This window comes from Homo sapiens, chromosome 7 (genome assembly GCF_000001405.40).
Source record: "Homo sapiens chromosome 7, GRCh38.p14 Primary Assembly".
Classification (NCBI taxonomy): domain Eukaryota; kingdom Metazoa; phylum Chordata; class Mammalia; order Primates; family Hominidae; genus Homo; species Homo sapiens.
This window is the reverse complement of record NC_000007.14, coordinates 39,256,851-39,279,554: the sequence shown is the minus strand read 5'-3', so window position 1 is coordinate 39,279,554 and position 22,704 is coordinate 39,256,851. Positions and strand designations below refer to the sequence as shown.

The following is a 22,704-nucleotide window of genomic DNA, read 5'->3' as shown; positions in this document are numbered from 1 at the left end:
AGACTTCAACCTTCCAGAACTGTGAGACAATGAATTTCTTTTGCTTTAGGCCACCCAGTTTGTGGAACTCTGCTATGACAGCCCTAGGAAAACAATGTATTATTTCATTTCATTTCCACAATCACCCCATGGGATGATGTTATTATTTTCTCCTATTTCGCAGATGCAGAAACTGAGGCTCAGAAAGGTAAGGACTGAATCAAAAGTCATATGAGCAGCATGGCAACCCCTAGGCAGATGCTGCTTAGGACACCTGGGAAGGTCGGCAGGTGGCACCTGTGTTGGGGCTTGGAACTCGAGTAGATGTTTGCTGGGTGCAGAAGGGAGTGCACTCCAGGGTGAGGTGAAGGAAGAGGATTGTGGGGATCAGAAGTTCTGAGTGACTGGAGTATAGGATGAGTGGCAAAGAAGGGCATGAGGTGAGATTGGCAAGAGTGGCTGGAGCCGATTCTGAATGGCCGTGCATGACACACCAGGCAGTCCGGAGAGACTGGGGCCATGGTGCACCTGGGAGACTGGGCAGTCCTAATTCCAATTAGAAACGAGAGTTGGGATTAAGGCTGTAAAAGTCAGGTTAGGGAACTGGAGGTGTGTTTGTGTGCTGTTTTGGAGACAGAATCTAGAATGTTGGAAGTAGTTGGTAATGAGGGAGAAGGAGGTTTGAGTTTCACTTCTCCAGCCTGAGGAACATGTGGATGGTGATGGCTAAGAACGGCAATATGCAGGATGCCATGCACAAAAATGCTTCTCAGCTGAGCTACATGCTGGACTTGGTGACAGGCACACATCCCACTGTTCCTGCCTGTATAGCCCCCTGTATGCCAGCGTGAAGAGTGGGCACAGACACAGAGCTGCTGGCTACAGGGGCTTTCTTGAGGTGAGAAATCCAAGGACTTCTCAGCTGTCAGAAAGGAGAGCCCTTACACAGGGGTGGGACAAGCACGGGTGGGTGTCTAGATTGGGCCACCTGCCTGCATTCTACTTACAAGGAAGGTCTGGAAATCAGTTTCAGAATCTACTCAATACCCTTTGTTCTCTGCATTCCTCTATAAAAGGTAAGTTGCCAGGCATCCTCATTAGAGGGTGGGCTTTTTTCATGAAGAACAGAGTGGAAGAATATTGGCCACTTGGACTCTGTCTGATCGATGCGGAGAATGAGCAAAACCAGGTGCGCCAACTCCCCTTACCCCCAACACCATGCAGAAGGTGACCATAAACAGGCTCAATGCCATTGGTTTGTGTCTCCTGGGCCTGGATCTATGGAAAGAGCTTACTTCCAGTTTCTGATCACAGTGATGCCAAAGTGTCCCATGGATCCTATCTCAGGAGCTTTTCCGAAACGCCTTCTCTGCTTTTCCTCAGAGTTCTCCTTGCACTGTGGGGTCTAGAGGAGCTGCTTCTCATCTACGTCCCCCACCATTTGATTCCTTCCTCCCTCCCTCCCCCCCTCCCTCCCTCCCTCCCTCTCTTTCTCGCTTTCTTTCAACGGAGTCTCACTCTGTCGCCAGGCTAGAGTGCAGTGGCCCGATCTCGGCTCACTGCAACCTCTGCCTCCCTGCAACCTCCACCTCCCAGCTTCAAGCGATTCTCCTGACTCAGCCTCCCAAGTAGCTGGGACTACAGGCGCGTGCCACCACACCCAGGTAATTTTTGTATTTTTAGTAGAGAGGGGGTTTCACCATGTTGCCCAGGATGATCTCGACCTCTTGACCTTGTGATTCGCCCGCCATGGCCTCCCAAAGTGCTGGGATTACAGGTGTGAGCCACCGCTCCTGGCCCCCGACCTTTTTCTATAGGGCAGCTTGGCTCCAACAGCTTCCTTAGGAAAATTTCCCCCTAACCACTTCGGTGGCCCAACCTCTGAAAGTTTGTTAAGGGAAAGTTAACCAAAGCACCAATGTTTTCCCTTTCCCTGGGTCTTTCCCCGCTCAATTGATGATGACAAAGGATCTGACATCCTAGACACTCCATACTTCCCCAGGGCTGAAATCAAGGCACTGGTGCTTGGAGACTCAATAATACTTGCTTTTTGCGGAAATAGAAAACCAAATATTGCATGTTCTTACTTATAAGTGGGAGTTAACTCCTGGGTACACGTGGACATAAAGATGGGAACAATAGATGCTGGGGACTCCAAAAGAAAGTAGAGAGGGAGGGGGGCAAGGGCTGGAAAACTTCCCTCTGGGGACTATGCTCACTATCTTCGTGTTGGGATCAATAGAAGCCCAACCTCAGCATCACGCAATATACCCATGTAGCAAATCTGCACATGTACCCCTTGAATCTAAAATTTAAACTTAAATTTAAATTTAAAAATGTGTTTTTCTGATTATATTGATTTATTAGTGACAGGATTTAAGAGCCAGAGAACTTCCTGTCTACCTTTATTTACTTGAAACTGTACTGTTTCTTCAATCTTAGCTATTGTTTTTACAATTGAAAGTTTCTCCCAAAGCACATGCTGGGAGTTATGTTTTGAAAGAGAATTTTTTAAAAATTATTATTAGACTTTAAGTTTTAGGGTACATGTGCACAATGTACAGGTTAGTTACATATGTATACATGTGCCATGCTGGTGTGCTGCACCCATTAACTCGTCATTTAGCATTAGGTATATCTCCTAATGCTATCCCTCCCCCCTCCCCCTACCCCACAACAGTCCCCAGAGTGTGATGTTCCCCTTCCTGTGTCCATGTGTTCTCATTGTTCAATTCCCATCTATGACTGAGAACATGCGGTGTTTGGTTTTTTGTCCTTGCGATAGTTTACTGAGAATGATGATTTCCAATTTCATCCATGTCCCTACAAAGGACATGAACTCATCATTTTTTATGGATGCATAGTATTCCATGGTGTATATGTGCCACATTTTCTTAATCCAGTCTATCATTGTTGGACATTTGGGTTGGGTCCAAGTCTTTGCTATTGTGAATAGTGCCGCAATAAACATACGTGTGCATGTGTCTTTATAGCAGCATGATTTATAGTCCTTTGGGTATATACCCAGTAATGGGATGGCTGGGTCAAATGGTATTTCTAGTTCTAGATCCCTGAGGAATCGCCACACTGACTTCCACAATGGTTGAACTAGTTTACAGTTCCACCAACAGTGTAAAAGTGTTCCTATTTCTCCACATCCCCTCCAGCACCTGTTGTTTCCTGACTTTTTAATGATTGCCATTCTAACTGGTGTGAGATGATATCTCTTTGTGGTTTTGATTTGCATTTCTCTGATGGCCAGTGATGGTGAGCATATTTTCATGTGTCTTTTGGCTGCATAAATGTCTTCTTTTGAGAAGTGTCTGTTCATATCCTTTGCCCACTTTTTGATGGGGTTGTTTGTTTTTTTCTTGTAAATTTGTTTGAGTTCATTGCAGATTCTGGATATTAGCCCTTTGTCAGATGAGTAGGTTGCGAAAATTTTCTCCCATTTTCTGGTTGCCTGTTCACTCTGATGGTAGTTTCTTTTGCTGTGCAGAAGCTCTTTAGTTTAATTAGATCCCATTTGTCAATTTTGGCTTTTGTTGCCATTACTTTTGGTGTTTTAGACATGAAGTTCTTGCCCATGCCTATGTCCTGAATGGTAATGCCTAGGTTTTCTTCTAGGGTTTTTATGGTTTTAGGTCTAACGTTTAAGTCTTTAATCCATCTTGAATTAATTTTTGTATAAGGTGTAAGGAAGGGATCCAGTTTCAGCTTTCTACATATGGCTAGCCAGTTTTCCCAGCACCATTTATTAAATAGGGAATCCTTTCCCCATTGCTTGTTTTTCTCAGGTTTGTCAAAGATCAGATAGTTGTAGATATGCGGCGTTATTTCTGAGGGCTCTGTTCTGTTCCATTGATCTATATGTCTGTTTTGGTACCTGTACCATGCTGTTTTGGTTACTGTAGCCTTGTAGTATAGTTTGAAGTCAGGTAGCACGATGCCTCCAGCTTTGTTCTTTTGGCTTAGGATTGACTTGGCAATGCGGGCTCTTTTTTGTTTCCATATGAACTTTAAAGTAGTTTTTTCCAATTCAGTGAAGAAAGTCATTGGTAGCTTGATGGGGATGACACTGAATCTATAAATTACCTTGGGCAGTATGGCCATTTTCACGATATTGATTCTTCCTACCCATGAGCATGGAATGTTCTTCCATTTGTTTGTATCCTCTTTTATTTCATTGAGCAGTGGTTTGTAGTTCTCCTTGAAGAGGTCCTTCACGTCCCTTGTAGGTTGGATTCCTAAGTATTTTATTCTCTTTGAAGCAATTGTGAATGGGAGTTCACTCATGATTTGGCTCTCTGTTTGTCTGTTATTGGTGTGTAAGAATGCTTGTGATTTTTGTACATTGATTTTGTATCCTGAGACTTTGCTGAAGTTGCTTAAGAGCTTAAGGAGATTTTGGGCTGAGACAATGGGGTTTTCTAGATATACGATCATGTCATCTGCAAACAGGGACAATCTGACTTCCTGTTTTCCTAATTGAATACCCTTTATTTCCTTCTCCTGCCTAATTGCCCTGGCCAGAACTTCCAACACTATGTTGAATAGGAGTGGTGAGAGAGGGCATCCCTGTCTTGTGCCAGTTTTCAAAGGGAATGCTTCCAGTTTTTGCCTATTCAGTATGATATTGGCTGTGGGTTTGTCATAGATAGCTCTTATTATTTTGAGATACGTCCCATCAATACCTAATTTACTGAGAGTTTTTAGCATGAAGGGTTGTTGAATTTTGTCAAAGGCCTTTTCTGCATCTATTGAGATAATCATGTGGTTTTTGTCTTTGGTTCTGTTTATATGCTGGATTACATTTATTGATTTGCATATATTGAACCAGCCTTGCATCCCAGGGATGAAGCCCACTTGATCATGGTGGATAAGCTTTTTGATGTGCTGCTGGATTCGGTTTGCCAGTATTTTATTGAGGATTTTTGCATCAATGTTCATCAAGGATATTGGTCTAAAATTCTCTTTTTTGGTTGTGTCTCTGCCTGGCTTTGGTATCAGGATGATGCTGGCCTCATAAAATGAGTTAGGGAGGATTCCCTCTTTTTCTATTGATTGGAATAGTTTCAGAAGGAATGGTACCAGTTCCTCCTTGTACCTCTGGTAGAATTCGGCTGTGAATCCATCTGGTCCTGGACTCTTTTTGGTTGGTAAGCTATTGATTATTGCCACAATTTCAGATCCTGTTATTGGTCTATTCAGAGATTCAACTTCTTCCTGGTTTAGTCTTGGGAGAGTGTATGTGTTGAGGAATTTATCCATTTCTTCTAGATTTTCTAATTTATTTGCATAGAGGTGTTTGTAGTATTCTCTGATGGTAGTTTGTATTTCTGTGGGATCGGTGGTGATATCCCCTTTATCATTTTTTATTGTGTCTATTTGATTCTTCTCTCTTTTTTTCTTTATTAGTCTTGCTAGCGGTCTTGAAAGAGAATTTTTTATACGACTGGTTCAAATTAAATGTTAATGGACAAGAATAAATATTTTGGTAAGTAGTTTGAAGGTGAAATGAGAAGGTCACCAAATTCTTGAATACAACTGTTAGTTTACATTATATAAATTAAATTTGTTAAAAATAAGCAAAGTTGCCATAGTCATGCAGTTATTATAAATATTTTTTCAATATTTTTGTTTTTACTCTTTATAGTTTATTCCAAAAAGCATTCTAACTGTATAATCTTTTATTCATTTACATTTTTCATGGTTTTATCACTATAATTTTGTTGCCAACATAGGCTTCTCTAAGGCAGTGCCTTTAACTTTTCTGAAGCAACTAAAGTGTTACATTGAGAAAGTAGGTGACAAATTGCAATCTACTGAGGTAAAGGGAGGAGGGACCTAGTTAGTACTCACTGTTCCCCGATGATACTCTTTAAAAAAAAAAACAAACCAAGAAACCTCTAGTCTTACAGGCTTTTTCCAGTTGTCCATTGACATCCTCTTTGTGCTTCAAGATCCAATGCAGGGTACCATGTTATATTTAGTTGTCAGGTCTCCCCAGTCTCCTCTGGCCTGTGATAGTTTCCCAGTCTTTCTATGTTTTTCATGACCTTAAAATTCTGAGGAGTACTAGCCAGGTTACCTGTAGAATGCCCCTCCATCTAAGTTTTCCTGATGTTTTAATCTTGATTCGACGGGGTTATGAGTTTTTGGAAAGAACACCACAGAGGCAAACTGCCTGTCTCATCACATCCTATCAGAGGGTACATGACATCCACATGGCATCGCTGATAATGTTAACCTTCATCATTTGGTTAAGTCATGTTTTCTAGGTTTGTTCACTGTACAGTATTTTTCCATTTTTACACTCTGTTCTTTGGAAGCAAGTCACAGAGTCTAGCCCATCCTGGAGGCAAGGGGGAGGGTAGGGAAAGAGCAGAATTATGTTCCCCATCCTGGAGGGTGTGGAATATCTCTATATGTTATTTGAAATTCTTCCTTAAGAAAGATCTGAAATTCTTTTTTATTTTATTTTTTCTTCTCTTTGACTTGTCTAAGTTAGTGCTTCAGAATTTCTTGGCTAGTATCCTGCAAAATATCATATTCTCATACTTTCTCCCATCATCTCCCCTTCTTTCATTCCCTAAAATGTTTATAGTTTGCTTAAAGTTGTCTTTTCATCCTCATTATCAAGGAATTCTGGAAGGAGGGCAGTGGCTCTGACTTTGTCATTGCTCATTGTTTGACTAGAGTTGAGTGACTATTTGTTCAGTAAATATAATCTAAGTGCTAAGTCCTCTCCTTCTTGTTATAGAAGAAAATAATTTGGGAAAAGAGCTATACTGTCACTAAATAAATCACCTTTATTATCCTTTCTGCTTAAAAATAGGTCTTCCTAAAAATATATACTTAAGAATCCAAAAGTCCCACATTAGCAAATTGACTCAGTTGGTATGAATTTAGCCAATGTTTGAGAAACTCTATCTTGGAAATTTCAGTTTCAAGAATGTTTGGTGCCATAATACTTAGGATATTTATTTTCAGGGAGCTCCAAACTCAACAAAAGGTTTCTCCCCACTCCCAAAGTTGAGCTAAATAGGTGTTTTTGTTTTTTTTCAGCTAACATTTATTTATTGGGCTCCTATTACAGCTCTGTCCCTGAAAGCAGTCCTTGGATTCACTGAGGAATAAAATATTATGCTGGTCTCCAGGGGCTTCCTGGTTGGTAGGGAAGAAGGACAGAAAGGCCCCCTGGTCCAGAGGGAGGAGGCCAGATCAGGCTGACTGGGAAGACTCCAGCAGCTGAACTGTGATGGGAGTGGAGGAGGGATTAGCCTGGAGTCTCTATCTCTCTACAGTAGTGGGAGGATGATGAATCGACTAGTTCTTAATACATTTCTATTTGGTATTTATGACTTATCTCTAGCTGAGCAACTACTAAGTGCTGTGTTTTCTTAAAAACCACTGAATGGTTTCTTCCCTATGATCCTGGGTTATTTCTGGACTTCCTTCTTAAGTTTTCTCTGTAGCAATCATAATATTTAAATTTATCTCCAAATCTACCATCTAAATGTTTTTCCGAAGCACTAGCTTTTCTGTAATCTGATCTAACAACAACCCCCTCTCCCCCACCCCCACACACACACCCCAACTCCTCATCCTCTTCATAACCGTATGGATCCCATGGAACCCAGCCTTTTGCTGGATCAGAAATAAAATCTGTAAAGTTTTTCTTCTGCAGAAAATTGATTTTGCTGGAAACATTTCCATTTCCAGGATTTTTTTTTTATAGTTTAAAAATAAAGAATAAAATAAGTTGAATGACGATTTGAACGGCTCCTGGATGTCTCATCCTCATATTACAGCAAATTATCCCTCCTGGCAGAGATAATGTTTGAAAATGAGCATATAGGCATGTTACTGACGGAAAGTTGTGGCACATCGAGCAGGTTTGCTCAGCCACGAGACGGGAATTTTGCAAAGCTCACGCTGCTGGGATAATCTGCTGCTCCCCACGGCTCACACAGCTGCCAGAACCACTTCTGCTGGCAAACGGCCAGGCCCGGGCACTCTGTGATTCCTTGGCTGTAGGAGCTGCTCCTTGGTCATAGGGTTTTTTTTTTTTTTTTTTTCACTGATTGAGCACAAGACAGTACCTGGGTTTCCTTTGTAAAACAAAACAAAATAAAACAAAGCCAAACTAGAACTTTTTCTCTTGCCATGCCTTTAGGTCCATGTCAGCAAACTTTTTCTGTAAGGCACCCACATCATAAAGGTTTTAGGCTTGGTAGTTATCTGGTCCCTGTTGCTACTTATATTCAACAGCCCACAAACAGCCAAACACAATATGTAAATGAAAGAGCAAGACTGGGTTCCAATAAAACTTTATCCAAGGACACCGAAATGTGAATTTCATATAGTTTTCATGTCTCATGAGTGCTTTTCTCCTTTTGAATTTTTTCAACCATTTAAAAATGTAAAAACCATTCTTAGCTCACAGGTATACAATAATAGGTGGGGACCTGGATCTAGGGCTGCTGGTCGTGGTTGGGTCACCACTGATCTACATTGAGGGATACACTACCCAGCTGGCCCCTGGCTAGAGAAGAGACTGCTCTGTGTTCTGTGGGGTGTGTGAGGGCAAAGCTAACTGGGCCAGGACTCTGACAGAGAATCCTAGAATCCTCAAGGCGGAAGGGGTCTTGTAGAACACTGGAATGAAACAGCCTTTTGAAGCCAAGGGGAAGAAAGTGAGCCTCGAAGTTACTAGCTGAATTGAAGTTATGTCACTAATTGGGGCCAGAATATTGGTGGTTTGATTCTGTAATCTAGGAGGGTTTCTATCCATCCACATTCTAGAGATGTGTAAGCTAATTGATAGAAAGATAAAGTTTGAGTGCACCAGGGGACTCCGCGACCCTCCAGGCCTCATAGTGACCAGCAAAAATCAATGTTCCATTGTAGCTTGATTTCCTAGCATGACAAGATCCAGGTTTAGGCTGTGGAGGTGATAAAAGCCCCACATACACTTCATTACCTGCAAACACTTGTGCACCCTCCCTTACCTTCCACTCTGCAGGAGAAGAGAAGCGAAGAGACTAAAAATAGCAATAACAATAATAACAACTGCCATTTACTAAATCCATTTCCTTGAGGCAATATAGCATGTGTTAAAAGCATGATCTCTGACATCAAACTGTCTGGATTCAAGTCGCCTATCACATACTTCCTATGGCAAATCCTTTAACCTCTCTGTGCCTCAGTTTCCTCATCTGTAAAATAAAATTGTTCTAAAGATTCAGTCTGTATCTACAAAGCACCCATGGTGCTACTTCATGTGTTTGCTCCCTCATGTCATCCTCAGAATGACTCTTAAAGACAGGCATTATTAATCACGTGTCACAAGTCACATGGATACCACGTGTATGGATACCAAGCCTTAGGCATGTGACTTGTCAATGGTCTCCCCCGCTGGAATTTGAAGCTAAGTCTGCTCATTCCTATATCTGTGATGGTGCCCTGTCTCTCAAAGACAGGGAGAAATAAACGAGATCTACAGGGAAACACCCTCAAGTGCTCTTCTGTACACAGTTATGAGTCCTTTCTTCATGACTTTTGTTTTAACTATACTACTGATAAAACATCTTCCTATTATTGGAAAATATTGAGAGCTCGTCTTGACTTAGTCCTGACATTGAAATTCCAGCCTTGATGAGTCTGGAATGGGATGGTGTGATTTTGTCTACTTTATCTTGGATGGTCTTCACAATAGCAACACACATACAGTCAATATGGCCCATGATTATATGACCCTCACACTGTGATGCCACATTTTTCCATGCAAGCAATACACAAAAGAGGGTTTCCCAAGCTCCTGGCTTGCACCAAGAAGTGAACACAAAGCCCTAGCAGGCTTCACTTCAACAGGCTCAGGGGGTGCTTGCAGAGGACCTGCCAGGCAACCAGTCCTGCCTCAAACTCTAAAAAAGAGGCACCTGGGAAGGCAGATTCTATGACCTGAATCTATAGGAGCTGATGAAGAAAGAACCACTTATAGGATGAGAAGACGCATGGTAAATTAAAGGGAATAGCTTAGCCTCAACTATCCAGCTTGTCAGCTGGTGGAGGCCAAGACAGGCTTCCAGCCCTGCCGCCCAGCCGACCATCTGTATCTGGTGGGGGTGTTGGGGGGCTGTCACAGGACTGGGGAGGGTCCCAGGCAGCATTTCAAGAGAATCAAGGCCTTTCTCCTGACCCCTTTACTAGGAGGAACTGTCCAGGAAGAGTCAACATCACGCTGAAATGAGACAACCCATGTGCCAGGAGTGGCTGATGCTGCACCTGGCTTGAGGTGAAGGCTGTGTGTGCGCCAGCCTGAAACCTTCCTTCTCTCCCCTGGGGTCAGTGGTTCTCACCCACATCACACCCACACCATTTCTTTATAACACATACTTCATAACACTCCCTTACTAGCCTGAATTGAAACAATATAACCTACCTACACACAGACTTTCTAAAAAAATCAATATAACCCCTCAACTATAACAAAAAAGAAATAAAAGGAAGCTAATTTATAATAAAATACCATGTATTTCCATCTGTAAATGCTCATGCATGGCTATGCTGAAAGATGTAGTGACTTTTTGTACTTATAAACAGAGTCCTGTGAGGATTACAACTATTAATCAGAGGGATCCAGGAGCATGGGATTAGCAACTTAAATACCCCCGGCAACACTTGAAGTGGAGACTTATTTAAAGTGGTGAAAACTCTCAGTCACTCTGGTGGCAAATCTGAATAAAACAAAATTTAGCCCTCTCCTGATGTCAAGGGTGGTTGCATTCCTGGAAAATGTAATGTGTATTAATTCTGTATAAAAAGATTGTTTGGATTTATATATAAAGTGGACTTAAGGTTCTCTGCTCACATCATCATAGAAAGATTTTTCCATGAGCGTGAGTGTCTGGCAGGACAGTCAAGAGCCACGCTGTATCCATCTTCATGTGCAAGGCTGGCCACATGTTAGCTTCTCTTTCCCTTACCTATTTTTCTACGGAATACAAAGTGACAAAGGAGCTCTTTTTAAACACTGCCATTTGGAGTGCCCTATAGACACTTCTGCTTGAGCAACTTAACAGCAGTTCTATCTCTCCGCTTAAAAAAAGCCACTGAAAGTCATCAAGCACCTTCCGCCTCAGTACTTTATGTACTGCCATCCTTCTGCTGGTGTAAGCCATCACCCTGACATGTTTTGTATGATTGTCCCACAAGTACAGACACTCATAAAGATAACATCAGGCAGATCTAAACTGGCACCAATTAGTGTCCCTGCACCGAAATTCCAGCTTGGGTGGGTGCAGAATGGGCAATGTGATTTTATTTTATCTACATTCCATTATCTTTGATGGACTTTACAGCAGCAACAAAATCACAGTCAATCTGGGCACGTGACTGTGTGACTTTCACACTCTGTTGCCACATCTCCCTATGCAGACAACACATAAAAACATGGTGTATTATCTCAGGGGCTGAAATTGACAAAGTCATCAAAAGCGAATGCTTCTCTGGAATTAGTATATTTTAAGGAGAAGCTTGTCTGTGGGATTGCTGTGGGGTGCACCTTCAGGATCAATCTGAGTAACCCCTTCCAGTCAAACTCTCCTCACAAGCAAGCTGTGTGTTACCCACCTTAGGAAAAGACTGACAGATAGACAAAGGGCTTGGGGAGGGTAAACCTCATAGTATGAATAAATTAAATACTGAAATTAAATTAAATTCTGACATGAGGAATGAAGAGTGTCAGCAGACTAGCTAATTAGGGTTAACAGTGTGTGCTCAGTTAAACTTCAGAAATTTTAGTCAGGTGCAATGGCCCACACCTGAACTCCCAGCTATTCAGGAGGCTGAAGTGGGAGGATCCCTTGAGCGTAGGAGTTTGAGGCCAGACTGGGAAACATAGCAAGACCTTGCCTCTAAAAAAAAAAAATAAATAAAATATTTTTAAATGTATGAAAAGTTAACAGCTAGTACTCATTCATTAAGCGTATTACTTTGCAGAAGAATATCTTTTCCAAATCATGTAAATTATAAAATGTCACTGGGATTCTCCCTATGTCAGGTTTGTCACAAATTGGCCCTATCCAGGATATTCAGTGACAGGCAACAGATGCGGGGCTCCCTGCTGCCTCCCTAGGGCCTGGCACATGTCTGGCTTAGAAATATACACTCAATGAACATTTATTGAATACATAAATGAATTAATTCCTGAACGATTGAAAATAAGGGGTGCTCAAAGGATAAGAAAACTACAGAAAATGACACTTGTATATCTGAAGAGCAGAGAATCCAAGAGCCCAATCCCATTTGCTTTTCCTACACTGTAATTTTATGGGCGTCTGTGTGTGTGTTCTCTTTCCTATTCCACAGCCTCCTCCCGTAGTTCTATTCACCCCTTATTTTTAACTTGCCTCTTCTTTAGTTTTCTAGACTTTTGCCGTTTTCTTCTCCAATTATGTTATTCAAACAAGCACACCATCCCTGGAGCCCTCCAAAATAATTCTTGGTCATGTTAGTGATAAAATGCAAGGCAGCTTATTTACAAAATATAGAATCTTCATTTCAAAATCACTACGCAGGGGAAGAGGTTGGTCAACAGGTACAAAGTTACCACTACATAGGGGGAATAAGTTCTGGTGTTCTATTGCCCAGTAGGGTGACTATGGTTAACAGGAAAGTATTGTATATTACAAAATAGCTAGAAGACAGGCTTTTGAATATTCTCACTACAAAGAAATGATAAATGCATGAGGTGATGAGTACGCTAACTACCCTGATTTGACTATTATACAACATATATATATCAAAATGTTAAATTGTACCCCATAAATATATGCATTTACAATGTGTCAATTCAAAAAAAAAAAAAAAAAAAGGCCAGGTGCGGTGGCTCATGCCTGTAATCTCATCAACTCAAGAGGCTGAAGCAGGAGGATCGCTGGAGCCCAGGAGGTCAAGGCTATGGTGAGCTATGATCACACCATTGTGCCCCAGCTTAGGCAACATAGCAAGTCCCCATTCCCCCTAAAAAGAGAAAGAAATAAGAAAGAAAATAAAATCACCACACAGGGAGATGCAAGGGACCAATCCCTGGGCTGGGTTGAGGGTGATTCCATAAGGCTACGTAAACACTGCCAAGGAGGGCCTGAGCATTTTGCCCTTCTGTGATTTCCTGGGGAAATTGGCTTATTCAGGAGCTCTTTGCTGATCAACTACCACATCCTTGTGGTGCAAAACGATGTTGATGTTGACCCTGAACCCTTCTTCCTGGTCAATGCAGACGTGTATCTGATCCTGTTCACATGGATATCCTCCGCCTCCAATAAAGTTATCTTTTTTGGACACTTTTTAAGCATAAAAACTTTTTAAAAATCTCCTGTGGCTCTTTGCCAAGGGAACTTCCCTGATGGTTCAGACAGAAACCCAGCTGGATTCCAATCCATGAAAAAGGCCTGGTGAATCAGTGTGTTCATGGGATGCTTCCCTCCCAGTGGGTGAGATGCTTTGATACATCTGAAAACCTCCACTTCCGAGGAGAAGGCAGACCAGCCTTTCTCTTCCCATTATTATTGATATCTTAGCAATTAGAAAATGTACGGACTTTGAACATGAAGGGTTAAACAGACTTTAACTGATAAGGGAGAATTCATCCTGGAAACTCCTTGGAGACACTTGTAATTAATTTGATCTTCTTCAGTCATTAACTCAGACTCATAGTGAGTCGTCTGCACACCGCTCTATTAATTCACTGGAGATCACTTCCTGGGATTCATTTAGTTAAGCAGCACTGTAGGATTACATTTTAAAACCCTTAAAACTGGTTGTAATTGATGTCTGTTTATAGAAGCTTACTTTAATGGAGTCAAAGCGAGATGGAAATCTCTTCTGGCAGCCTGAGATGCTACCTTCCAGCATAAAACCCAGCTCTGGCGGTACCAGGTTGGGGAAAAAACTATGGCCGATTGAAATAAATTATTATTTTAATTTTGATAGCACATTCTAAAATGTGGAGTATTTCAACGGTAAAACTATGGATAACTTATTTGAAACCACATGCCCCTCTTGAAATGCACATGTAAACGTTTAAATGTATTAAGAAAAGTACATACTTTCAAATGAGCCAAACATAAGTAATAATAATGTGGGTTAGGTGTGAGATTTGGGAAACTCTGGTTTTCTCTCTGAGGGAAGTTGGGGTGGAGGGACAGTAATGCTTTTTGTTAGACTTCCTCAAAGCCCATCTGGCTCCAGAAGCTCTGGTAAGGCAGGCTGGCCTGGGTGGGTAGTCCTGTGCTTGGGGTATGGCCGAGCAGTTTAAACACCTTCACCCCAGACCTGGGGGATCACACAGGCTTGGATTTCCTATCCCAAATTCAGAACCAGAGGGTCCCAGAATTTTTACTAGGGTGTGTATGTGTTGGGGGTGGGGGAGAGTATCTTTATATTTTCTATAAAACAGCAAAGTGAGAACTGCCTGAGGTATACATTCTGACCTTTTCTGTTTATTTCACCAGGCTGGCTTTTCTCTGCCTGGCCAGATTTTACCTTTCCTTCAAAGTTCAGCTCAAGGCCTAACAACCTCCTTTAATAATCCTTCTCTGACCATGCCTGACAATAAGAGCAAATACTTTTTTGATGTGTAGACATTTGCAGTTTTTCCAACCAATTTTGGGTACTTTCTTGGATTTATTCTTTAGAACAGTTCTTTGTGGTATGCAGGGAGTATATATATTAGCCGTCTCCACACACACATACATATGTGTATATATATCTGTACACACATATATGTATGTATATATGCATATATTATGCATATTTGCACATATATCCTCTGAACACCTAAATTATATATTGAATGTACTTATTTATTTACTGATTCATTCAACATTTATTGACTACTTAGCCTGTGGCAGATACTAAGCTAGGCACCAGGAGTATAGGCTTACACCATAGGAGGGGAGCCAGACGGGTAAATAACTGATGACCTCACCACATCTTAGTCTGTCAGAGGACTGAGTGGCCAGGTTTGGCAGAATTATAGAGATGAACAAAGTTTAGACACCAGCTGGGACTCTCACCATCCCAAATGATACACTCAGGAAATAATCTTGGGGCCACAATCCCACTCTTGCAGTCAGAATGGTTTCCTCAAATCTTCATTATAACAGGGATTGAATCATCTAACCAGGCCATAACTCAGTAGGGCCCAGTTGGATGGCTGGGCGTCCAAGTGCATTTGAATGACGGGTCCACATTCTTACTTCCTTGCTCCCTGGTTTCCTTCACTAACAGCTAACACCAATAGAGCACTTACTGTATGCCAGGCCTCATTCTAAGAGCTTTATGGACACTAAATCATTGAATGCTCCCACAGCTGAGGTGGGTGAATTGCCCACACAGCCCAGGTAGAAGTGGGGAAGCTGGGCTCAGACGCTGGAAGTCAGCTCTAGGGCCCATGGTCCTCACCACCATGCTGAGAGGCCTGGACTTCCATTTTGATGTCTTAGGGGCCTTGAGACCGTCAAGAAGTACCTCCTAATGCCAGTCCTTCCTGCCATTGAGCAGAAAATTAGCAAGTTGACATTGGAAGTCAGACTGAGGAGCTGGGAGAACTGAGAGAATTCAGGACAGGAAATGGCCATGCACACATCTTTATTCTATCAGCACTTATTGAAAGGCTGCCTCTGTAGTGCCAGGCACTGTTAGAGGCTCTGGAGAGACAACAGTGAAGTAAAAACAGTTCCTGCCTTCGGGGAGGTCACATCTGGACATGGACCATGGTGATAGGGGCTGGGGGAAAATAGACAATAAAAAAATGCTGTTCTGCATTCTATCAGGTTGCAATAAGGGTAATTAGAAAGATGAAGTGGGGCGTGTGACTTGTGTGTGTGTGTGTGCGTGTGTGTGCGTGAACACGCATGCACACACATGTAATTGTATGCATGTCCAGTAGGCTTCACAACACAAAAGCCAATACAAATTATAATATCCTCTTTTGACTTTTTCTATTTTTCTTTGTTCAGAACATTGTATCCAAAAGATACCCAAATTATACAACCGTGTGTATCTTAATTAAACAAAGACACAATCCTCTGATCTTAAAAGGTCTAGTGAAGTTTAGACCAAAGGTACAGCTTCAGGAATACATTCAGAATAAGATGCTAAAAGAAAAAAACCTTGACTGCTATAGAAGGTGTGATTTAAACTTTTAAAAACGTGGGTCCACTACGTGTGATTAGATAAAATATTGAAAGGAGGAACACCAAAACATTATCAGTAGATAAGTCTGAGTTATAAAACTCTGGGTGATTTCAAAACACATATTTTATTTTAATACTGAAAAGAGAAAAAAGAAAGTAACATTTTCCTTAATCTTATGACAAATTAGGGATGTTTCTAGTTTTCTTTTTAATACTTTTTTACATTTTTGAATTTTAAAATTGTGCATATGTGTCTTTATAATAATAAAAAGCACACAAAAGAGGTCTCTAAAAATGTGGCCTGAATTTCTGGGGACAGCATGTGGTTTCACAACAAGAGGATACAAATTGCCACAATCATCTTTAACGTGATCTTATATCAGATGAGCAGAACATGGTACCTTAGGAAACCCGTCTGTTTTCAGTCAAATAAAAGTGATGGGAAATGGTGATTTTCTGAGCAATAGCACTCTTGTTGTCAGAAAAGAAGGGAAAGGGAACTGGGTACTATTCACAGAAAATGCACTGGGTAATTTTGTTAAGTATATGTTATAGGTTCCAATGCATTTTATGTTTTTAAAAAAAGTCCGACTCCGTGATTCATGTTGGTTGGAAAAAACAACAACAACAACAAACTACAACTATGCTATAAATAAAATGCATACCACAAGACCTGAAAGTAAAGATGCTTATGTTCTGATATGGCAATTCTACTCATTTTGAAGATAATAACTTTAAAGTTTCCCCAGTGTGATATTGATCAGTATATTATTATGCTTTTCTTAAATATTAAAAAACCCTAGTCATTTATAAAAAGAAGGAGCACAAAATTGCTCTACACAGTTGTATAGCAGTTGTTGCATGTTCGGCATTTGTAGAATGAAGAGTTGAACAGTGATCCAATGTGGATGCCATCATTGAACTTTTACAAAATCAGGCTCTGAGAAAAAGAAAATGGATATAAAACTGAGTTCCAGTAAGCATCTGCTGGGACTTGGGCTTGTCAGGATCTCCAGCCGCTGTGACTATGGGCACAAGCTCACTGGAGCCGTTCAGATCCACCATTCATTCCTGTTTTGTAAGGCCATCCTTTCCCCATGTTTGACAGTTGCCAGTTAGGTCTCTTCCTCTTGATGTCCCACCAAGGTCTCATAACAACCTTGTTTTCCTACTGCAAACAGGAACCTTATGAACCACTGTTTCAGCATAATGATGTAATATATGAAGCTTACATTTGGCTATAAACTGGTCTAAGGTGAAAGATTTTGAACCTTTACAGATCTCCCCAAACTGGCACCATTGAGCAACTTTTTTTTGTTGTTCCCAGACCCCTTTTCCAGTGTTTCTCCACCCTTCCATATTGCTTCCCGCAGCAGCCAACTCAGAAAACACATTTCAAGCTCTCCCTCCCAGCTGATTCCCACAGGCCTAAAATCACGATGAGAGAAAACACTGAATGTGTTTTAGATTTACTGGCTCATTTCCTTTACATCTACTCTGATGTCTTAAAGACATAAGTACTAGTGAATTTTCTAGTTAAACCAGAAAATATGCAATCTGCATAAACATGACAAAAATGAAAACTCATTTACCTGAACAACATAGTAGAAAACAAATCACAGAACTACGGAGATGAAAAGGGCCCTAGAAATTATGAGGTCCATTTTGCCATTCTTAGATGGGAAATGACAGCATGGTGTAGTGTGGTCAGGTCCAAGTTCAAATCCCGCCTCTGCCACTTACAGGCTGTGTGACCTTGAACAAGGCACGTAAACATTCTGTGCCTGTTTTCTCATCTGTAAAACAGGGTTGATAACGGTTCCTACCTGAGGATTGTGGGGAAGATTCAATGAGATACTTAAAATAAATGGATGAGAACAATGCCTTATAAAAAGTGAGAGCCAGAAAAGCTGATTCTTCATCATGGCCAAAAATGGAAAGTCAGTTTCAAGCAACTAGACAAATCCACATTATGACTTGGATATGTTCTAAGAGGCAACCACTGGAATGACCTACTTTAATAAGGTGACCTAAGGAGTTAACAGAGAAGATGTGATGGAGGAAGGAGGATTCAGGGAAATGCCTGGGTGTCGGAAGAAGAGCTGGCAGTGCAGGAAGAGCATCCCAGTGGAGCAGGTTCCTGCAGGAGCAGGAGAGGTGGCCTGGCTGAGCCCTGGCAGTTGTGGAATTAGTGGTCACAGAACCTTTGCCTAACTTTGTCTCTGTGGCAGCTTTCATTGTTGACCAAAGGAAGCAGGAGACAGATCTGTGGCGTGGGGTGTGTGTGTGTGTGTGTGTGTGTGTGCATGTGTGTATGTGTTATGTAGATGTGTGGTATGTGTGTAGTGTGTATGTGTGATACATGTGCTGTGCTGTGATGTGTGTGTGATATGAATGGTGGTGGGTGTGGTGTGCATGTGATGTAGGGTGTGTGTATGTGTGAGATGTGTATAATATGATATATATGTGTAGGTGGCGTGTATGGTGTGTGGAGTCTGTGGTATGTGGTGTGGTACCTATGTGTGCATTGTGTGTGTCTGTGGTATGTGTAATGTGATGTATGTATGTCATATATGTGTGTTTAAGTGTTGTGTGTGGTATATGTGGTATGTGGCATGGTGTCTGTGTGTTGTGTGCAGGTGGTGTAGTATATGTGGTGTGCGGTATGTATGCTTGTGGTATATGTGTGGCATCTGGTGTGTATGGTGTGGTATGTGTATGCATGTGATGTATGTGTGGTGTGTGGTGTCTGTATTGTGTGTATGGTGTGTGTGTGGTATGTGGTATGTGTGTGGAATGTGGTATGTGTGTGGAATGTGGTGTGTGTGGAACGTGGTATGTGTGTGGAATGTGGTGTGGTGTGTGTGAAGCATGATGTGTGTGTGGCTTGTGTGTGGTATGGTGTGTATGTGTGTGGTATGTATGTGTATGGGGTGTGTGTATATGTGTGTTTCTGGTGTGTGGTGTCTGTGTGTGTGGTGTGAGCAAGGTATGGAATGTGTGTGTGGTATGTGTGTTGTATGTGTATAGAGTGTGTGGTGTGTGCATGGTATTGTGTGTGTGGTGTGAACATGGTATGGAGAGTGTGTGTGGTGTATGCATGGTATGGAGTGTGTGTGTCGGGGGTGTGGTGTGTGTATTGCATGTGTATAGTGTGTGGTGTGTGTGGTATTGTGTGTGTGGTGTGAGCACAGTATGGAGTGTGTGCGGTGTGTGTATGAGTACAGAGTGTGTGGTGTGTGTGGTATTGTGTGTGTGGTGTGAGCATGGTATGGAGAATGCGTGTGGTGTGTGTATCGTATGTGTATGGATTATGTAGTGTGTACGTGGTATTGTATGTGTGGTGTGAGCATGGTATGGTGTGGTGTGGTGTGTGCTTGTGGTGACTGTGTGTGTGTATGTGTGTGTGTGGTGCATGTACGTGTAGGGCATGCACACACACAGGACTCCCACCCTCCAGTGTCCCACAGGCCGGAGGCTGCAGCAACACTTAGAAGCCAGACCCTGGGCGTCTGGGCTCTGTCTGCATGGTGCCTAGGAAAGCTGAGAGCTGGGGCAGGCTCATGGGCTGTGGGGAGCAGCCCACAGATTTCCCGAAGGAGCAGGGGAGGCTGTTGGAGAGGACGAGGAGGCCAGCAGAGAGAGAATCTGGAGCAGCCCAGGGAGGATGCTGAGATAAAAAGTTTTAGTGCATACACAAGTGTGCTCTTACCGCCCAGGAAAGTTAGGAATGCACAGGCCCAGGCTCCCTGTGTGTCCCTGTGCCGCCTGATCATCCTTTGACTCCAGGAGGGCAACACGGCCCTTGGAACGTGCTCAAGGAGGAATGTGGCTCCTGGAGCTCAGGGCTGGGTGTCCTGCTCTCTCTGCTTCTCGCTTGCCTTTTGACTTCCCACAGTCTTTGGACTCCTCAGTCATCTCCCTACTCGGGGCCCAACAGGCCATTTTGTTTTTCTCTCTGTTCAAGGACAAGTTATGTCGTTTGTGCATGTTTTAGGGGGATGATCTGTTTCCAAAGGCCGGAAACTTCTCAATACAAAGTCAGGCCGAATAACTTACCCAGGATTACATCTGAGTAAACAGTTGGCTTAAAAAGCTGCCCACTGTTTTATTTTTTTCTCGATAGAGAACAACATTGAAACTGGAAAACAAAAATCAGCTGCCGCTTAAGTTTATAAAATGTATTGTGATGGAGGCAGAACTGGGCTCTTAATATCTATAGTCTTTAAATGTCTTTGCTTAATGTGGCTTCTAGATAATCATCCAACTTTTGATAGAGTGATTACCAGGTAATGCTATCAAATAACAATCATGATTAAACAAGTTACATGAGCCTTCAGGCCCTGAAGCAATTTCTGTGAAGAATGAGTTTGTCCTTCAAATGGCATAATAAGAAAAAAATTAGGTGCAATTCACCCAGAACGCTACGTTATACTGGGAGAAGTGTAATATGTTTACCCATTCCTAACAGTTACAAATGGCCTGCAATTAGCTTCCTTTCTTTTCAGCTTCCTTCCTTTCCATTTACCTTTGCATTCTTTGTCACGTGAAATGAGCAAGGTGGTTTGTAGCTGCCACTGTGATTTTCTGCCCACCTGGACCACTTTACAATATCACAGATTCTGCGGTGCCCCTACCACCTTCTTCTTCTTCTTCTTTTTTTTTTTTTAAACATCTAGAGTAAAAATCCAAAAAGCAGACAGAAAACAATTTGTGGCTATTGGTGAATTTTACACCTGAAATGTCAAAAAAGCTATTAAACATAATTTGAGCCCAGAAAGAAATTAGCAACCAACAATTGTGTTACCACAACAGAAGGATCTCTATGGAATGAAGCAACCAGGAAAAAGGTGGGTTGATTAATTTATCATATACAGGGTCTAGGCATAAGATTCTTAAATGTGAAACTTGTGGCTTATACCAGCTACCAATGAGGACAGAATAATGTGACACACACTTTAAAACCAGTATGTGAAAATGTCTGGATAAAATCCCAGGCTCCAGAACACAGTTTTTAATATTTCTCTTTTTCTCAGTGAATGCTCTCAAAAAGTAAAAGGTAGAGCTGCCGCCTTCAAATCTCTCAGAGTCCAGTATAGTGCTGTTGCCTCTGGGTATTTATTTTTATATTGGGAGACAAATCAATAAAAAAATAAAAATATGTAACTACTGTTTCTGTTGTGAGTTACAGTCATAACCAAGTCATCTACGTGGTATTATCTGAAAGTTAATTCCACTACCCAAGGATATGAGAGCTAAGAATTTGTGATGTATTTAATCTATGTTCAGCCTCAATTTATAGCACATTCTTCTCCCCAGGTAATCTTGCATCTGTAGGAAATGGGGGGAAACAGTGGTGGCCCAAACAATGTAGTTTCAAAAATGTACACGTAAATAGTATTAAGCACTGGTACTTTCTTTTAAGAATTTTATGTTCCCTCTGCATAAAAGTTATAGATATCTGAAAGCTTTGATATACATGAAACACGTCTATGGGGAAAAATGTAGAGTAAGTGTGGCAGTGCCATGCATGTATAAATTTCCCCCGTGTGTACCCTGCCTCAATGGGCACACAGAACTTCAGAAGTGTGGGTTTTCTCGGTGGAATTTGTGATGCTGTATGTGATGTTGATTCAAATGCATAAGTATTATCTTTTTATCTCAGATGCTTTAGGCTTGGAGTTGTAGTTGAAAGCTCCATTCTAAGCCTAGTTCTCTTGCCTTCTTAGTTTTACTTTTTCTTTGCAAGTATGTGTCTTCACAAAGCAGGGTGGGTACATATGGAGCACGAGTTTGTGCCTTTGACACCCACCCTGAGCTGGTTTGTGGGTGTATAATCCTACGGAGACACAATGTAAGCGGCTTAAAGCTTTTGTTTCTAGATAACAAACAATTATTTTCAGATGTGCTAACAGGAAAAGCAAAACCAATACGAATAGGAATTTAAAAGTTCACTGTAACAAGAAGATTTTTTTTCCCTTCAAAAATGGAAAATTTTATCTAAGGCATATTAAATAATTTGAAATTCTAACTAGGCTTTACAATGACTAAATAATTTCTAGGTTTTTCAGAAGTTGTTACTCCTAACTCCAAGTGCATGTATTTCCCCAAAGTATTAGGAAGTATATTAGTCAGGATCCTAGAAAGTGGAAAGTCTCAAAGTCTCCACCTTTTCCTTCCCTTGGGTACCATGCTCCTTTGTATCTGCACTATTTCCCAAAATATAAATGTATGCGGCTTGTGAGCTTAGCTTAGCTTGTGGCAATAAACAGATGCAACAAACCTTCCATTGAGAGGGTTGACGGGAGTTCCTCATAAGTGAGCTGGTAAACTTTTAGGTATACATGTGCTATGTAGTTAATAATAGACTCCTATGCGGTATTAGTTTGCTATTTGCTGCTATTAACAACACAAATCTGTGATCTTACATTTCTGGAAGTAAAACATGCAAAATGGGTTTTAATGGGTTTTAATGGGCTAACATCAAGTGTCGGCTGGGCTATGTTTCTTCCTGGAGGCT

At 41.6% G+C, this 22,704-nt stretch overlaps 1 protein-coding gene across 5 annotated transcripts in view, besides 3 other annotated features; it reads right to left on the bottom strand.

Moving 5' to 3' along the window:
- The window catches only part of POU6F2 (POU class 6 homeobox 2), a 490,693-nt gene that overhangs the window by 189,047 nt on the left and 278,942 nt on the right, over positions 1–22,704 (bottom strand). The gene's annotated exons all lie outside the window — the stretch shown is intronic.
- Positions 7,421–7,921: an enhancer, noted in NCBI's record as "H3K4me1 hESC enhancer chr7:39311233-39311733 (GRCh37/hg19 assembly coordinates)". NCBI's record gives its function as "activates a minimal SCP1, AML or CMV promoter by ChIP-STARR-seq in naive H9 embryonic stem cells {active_cell/tissue: H9 hESC(naive)}" and the evidence as "EXISTENCE:reporter gene assay evidence [ECO:0000049][PMID:30033119]".
- Positions 7,922–8,422: an enhancer, noted in NCBI's record as "H3K4me1 hESC enhancer chr7:39310732-39311232 (GRCh37/hg19 assembly coordinates)". NCBI's record gives its function as "activates a minimal SCP1, AML or CMV promoter by ChIP-STARR-seq in naive H9 embryonic stem cells {active_cell/tissue: H9 hESC(naive)}" and the evidence as "EXISTENCE:reporter gene assay evidence [ECO:0000049][PMID:30033119]".
- Positions 19,817–20,350: an enhancer, noted in NCBI's record as "H3K27ac-H3K4me1 hESC enhancer chr7:39298804-39299337 (GRCh37/hg19 assembly coordinates)". NCBI's record gives its function as "activates a minimal SCP1, AML or CMV promoter by ChIP-STARR-seq in primed H9 embryonic stem cells {active_cell/tissue: H9 hESC(primed)}" and the evidence as "EXISTENCE:reporter gene assay evidence [ECO:0000049][PMID:30033119]".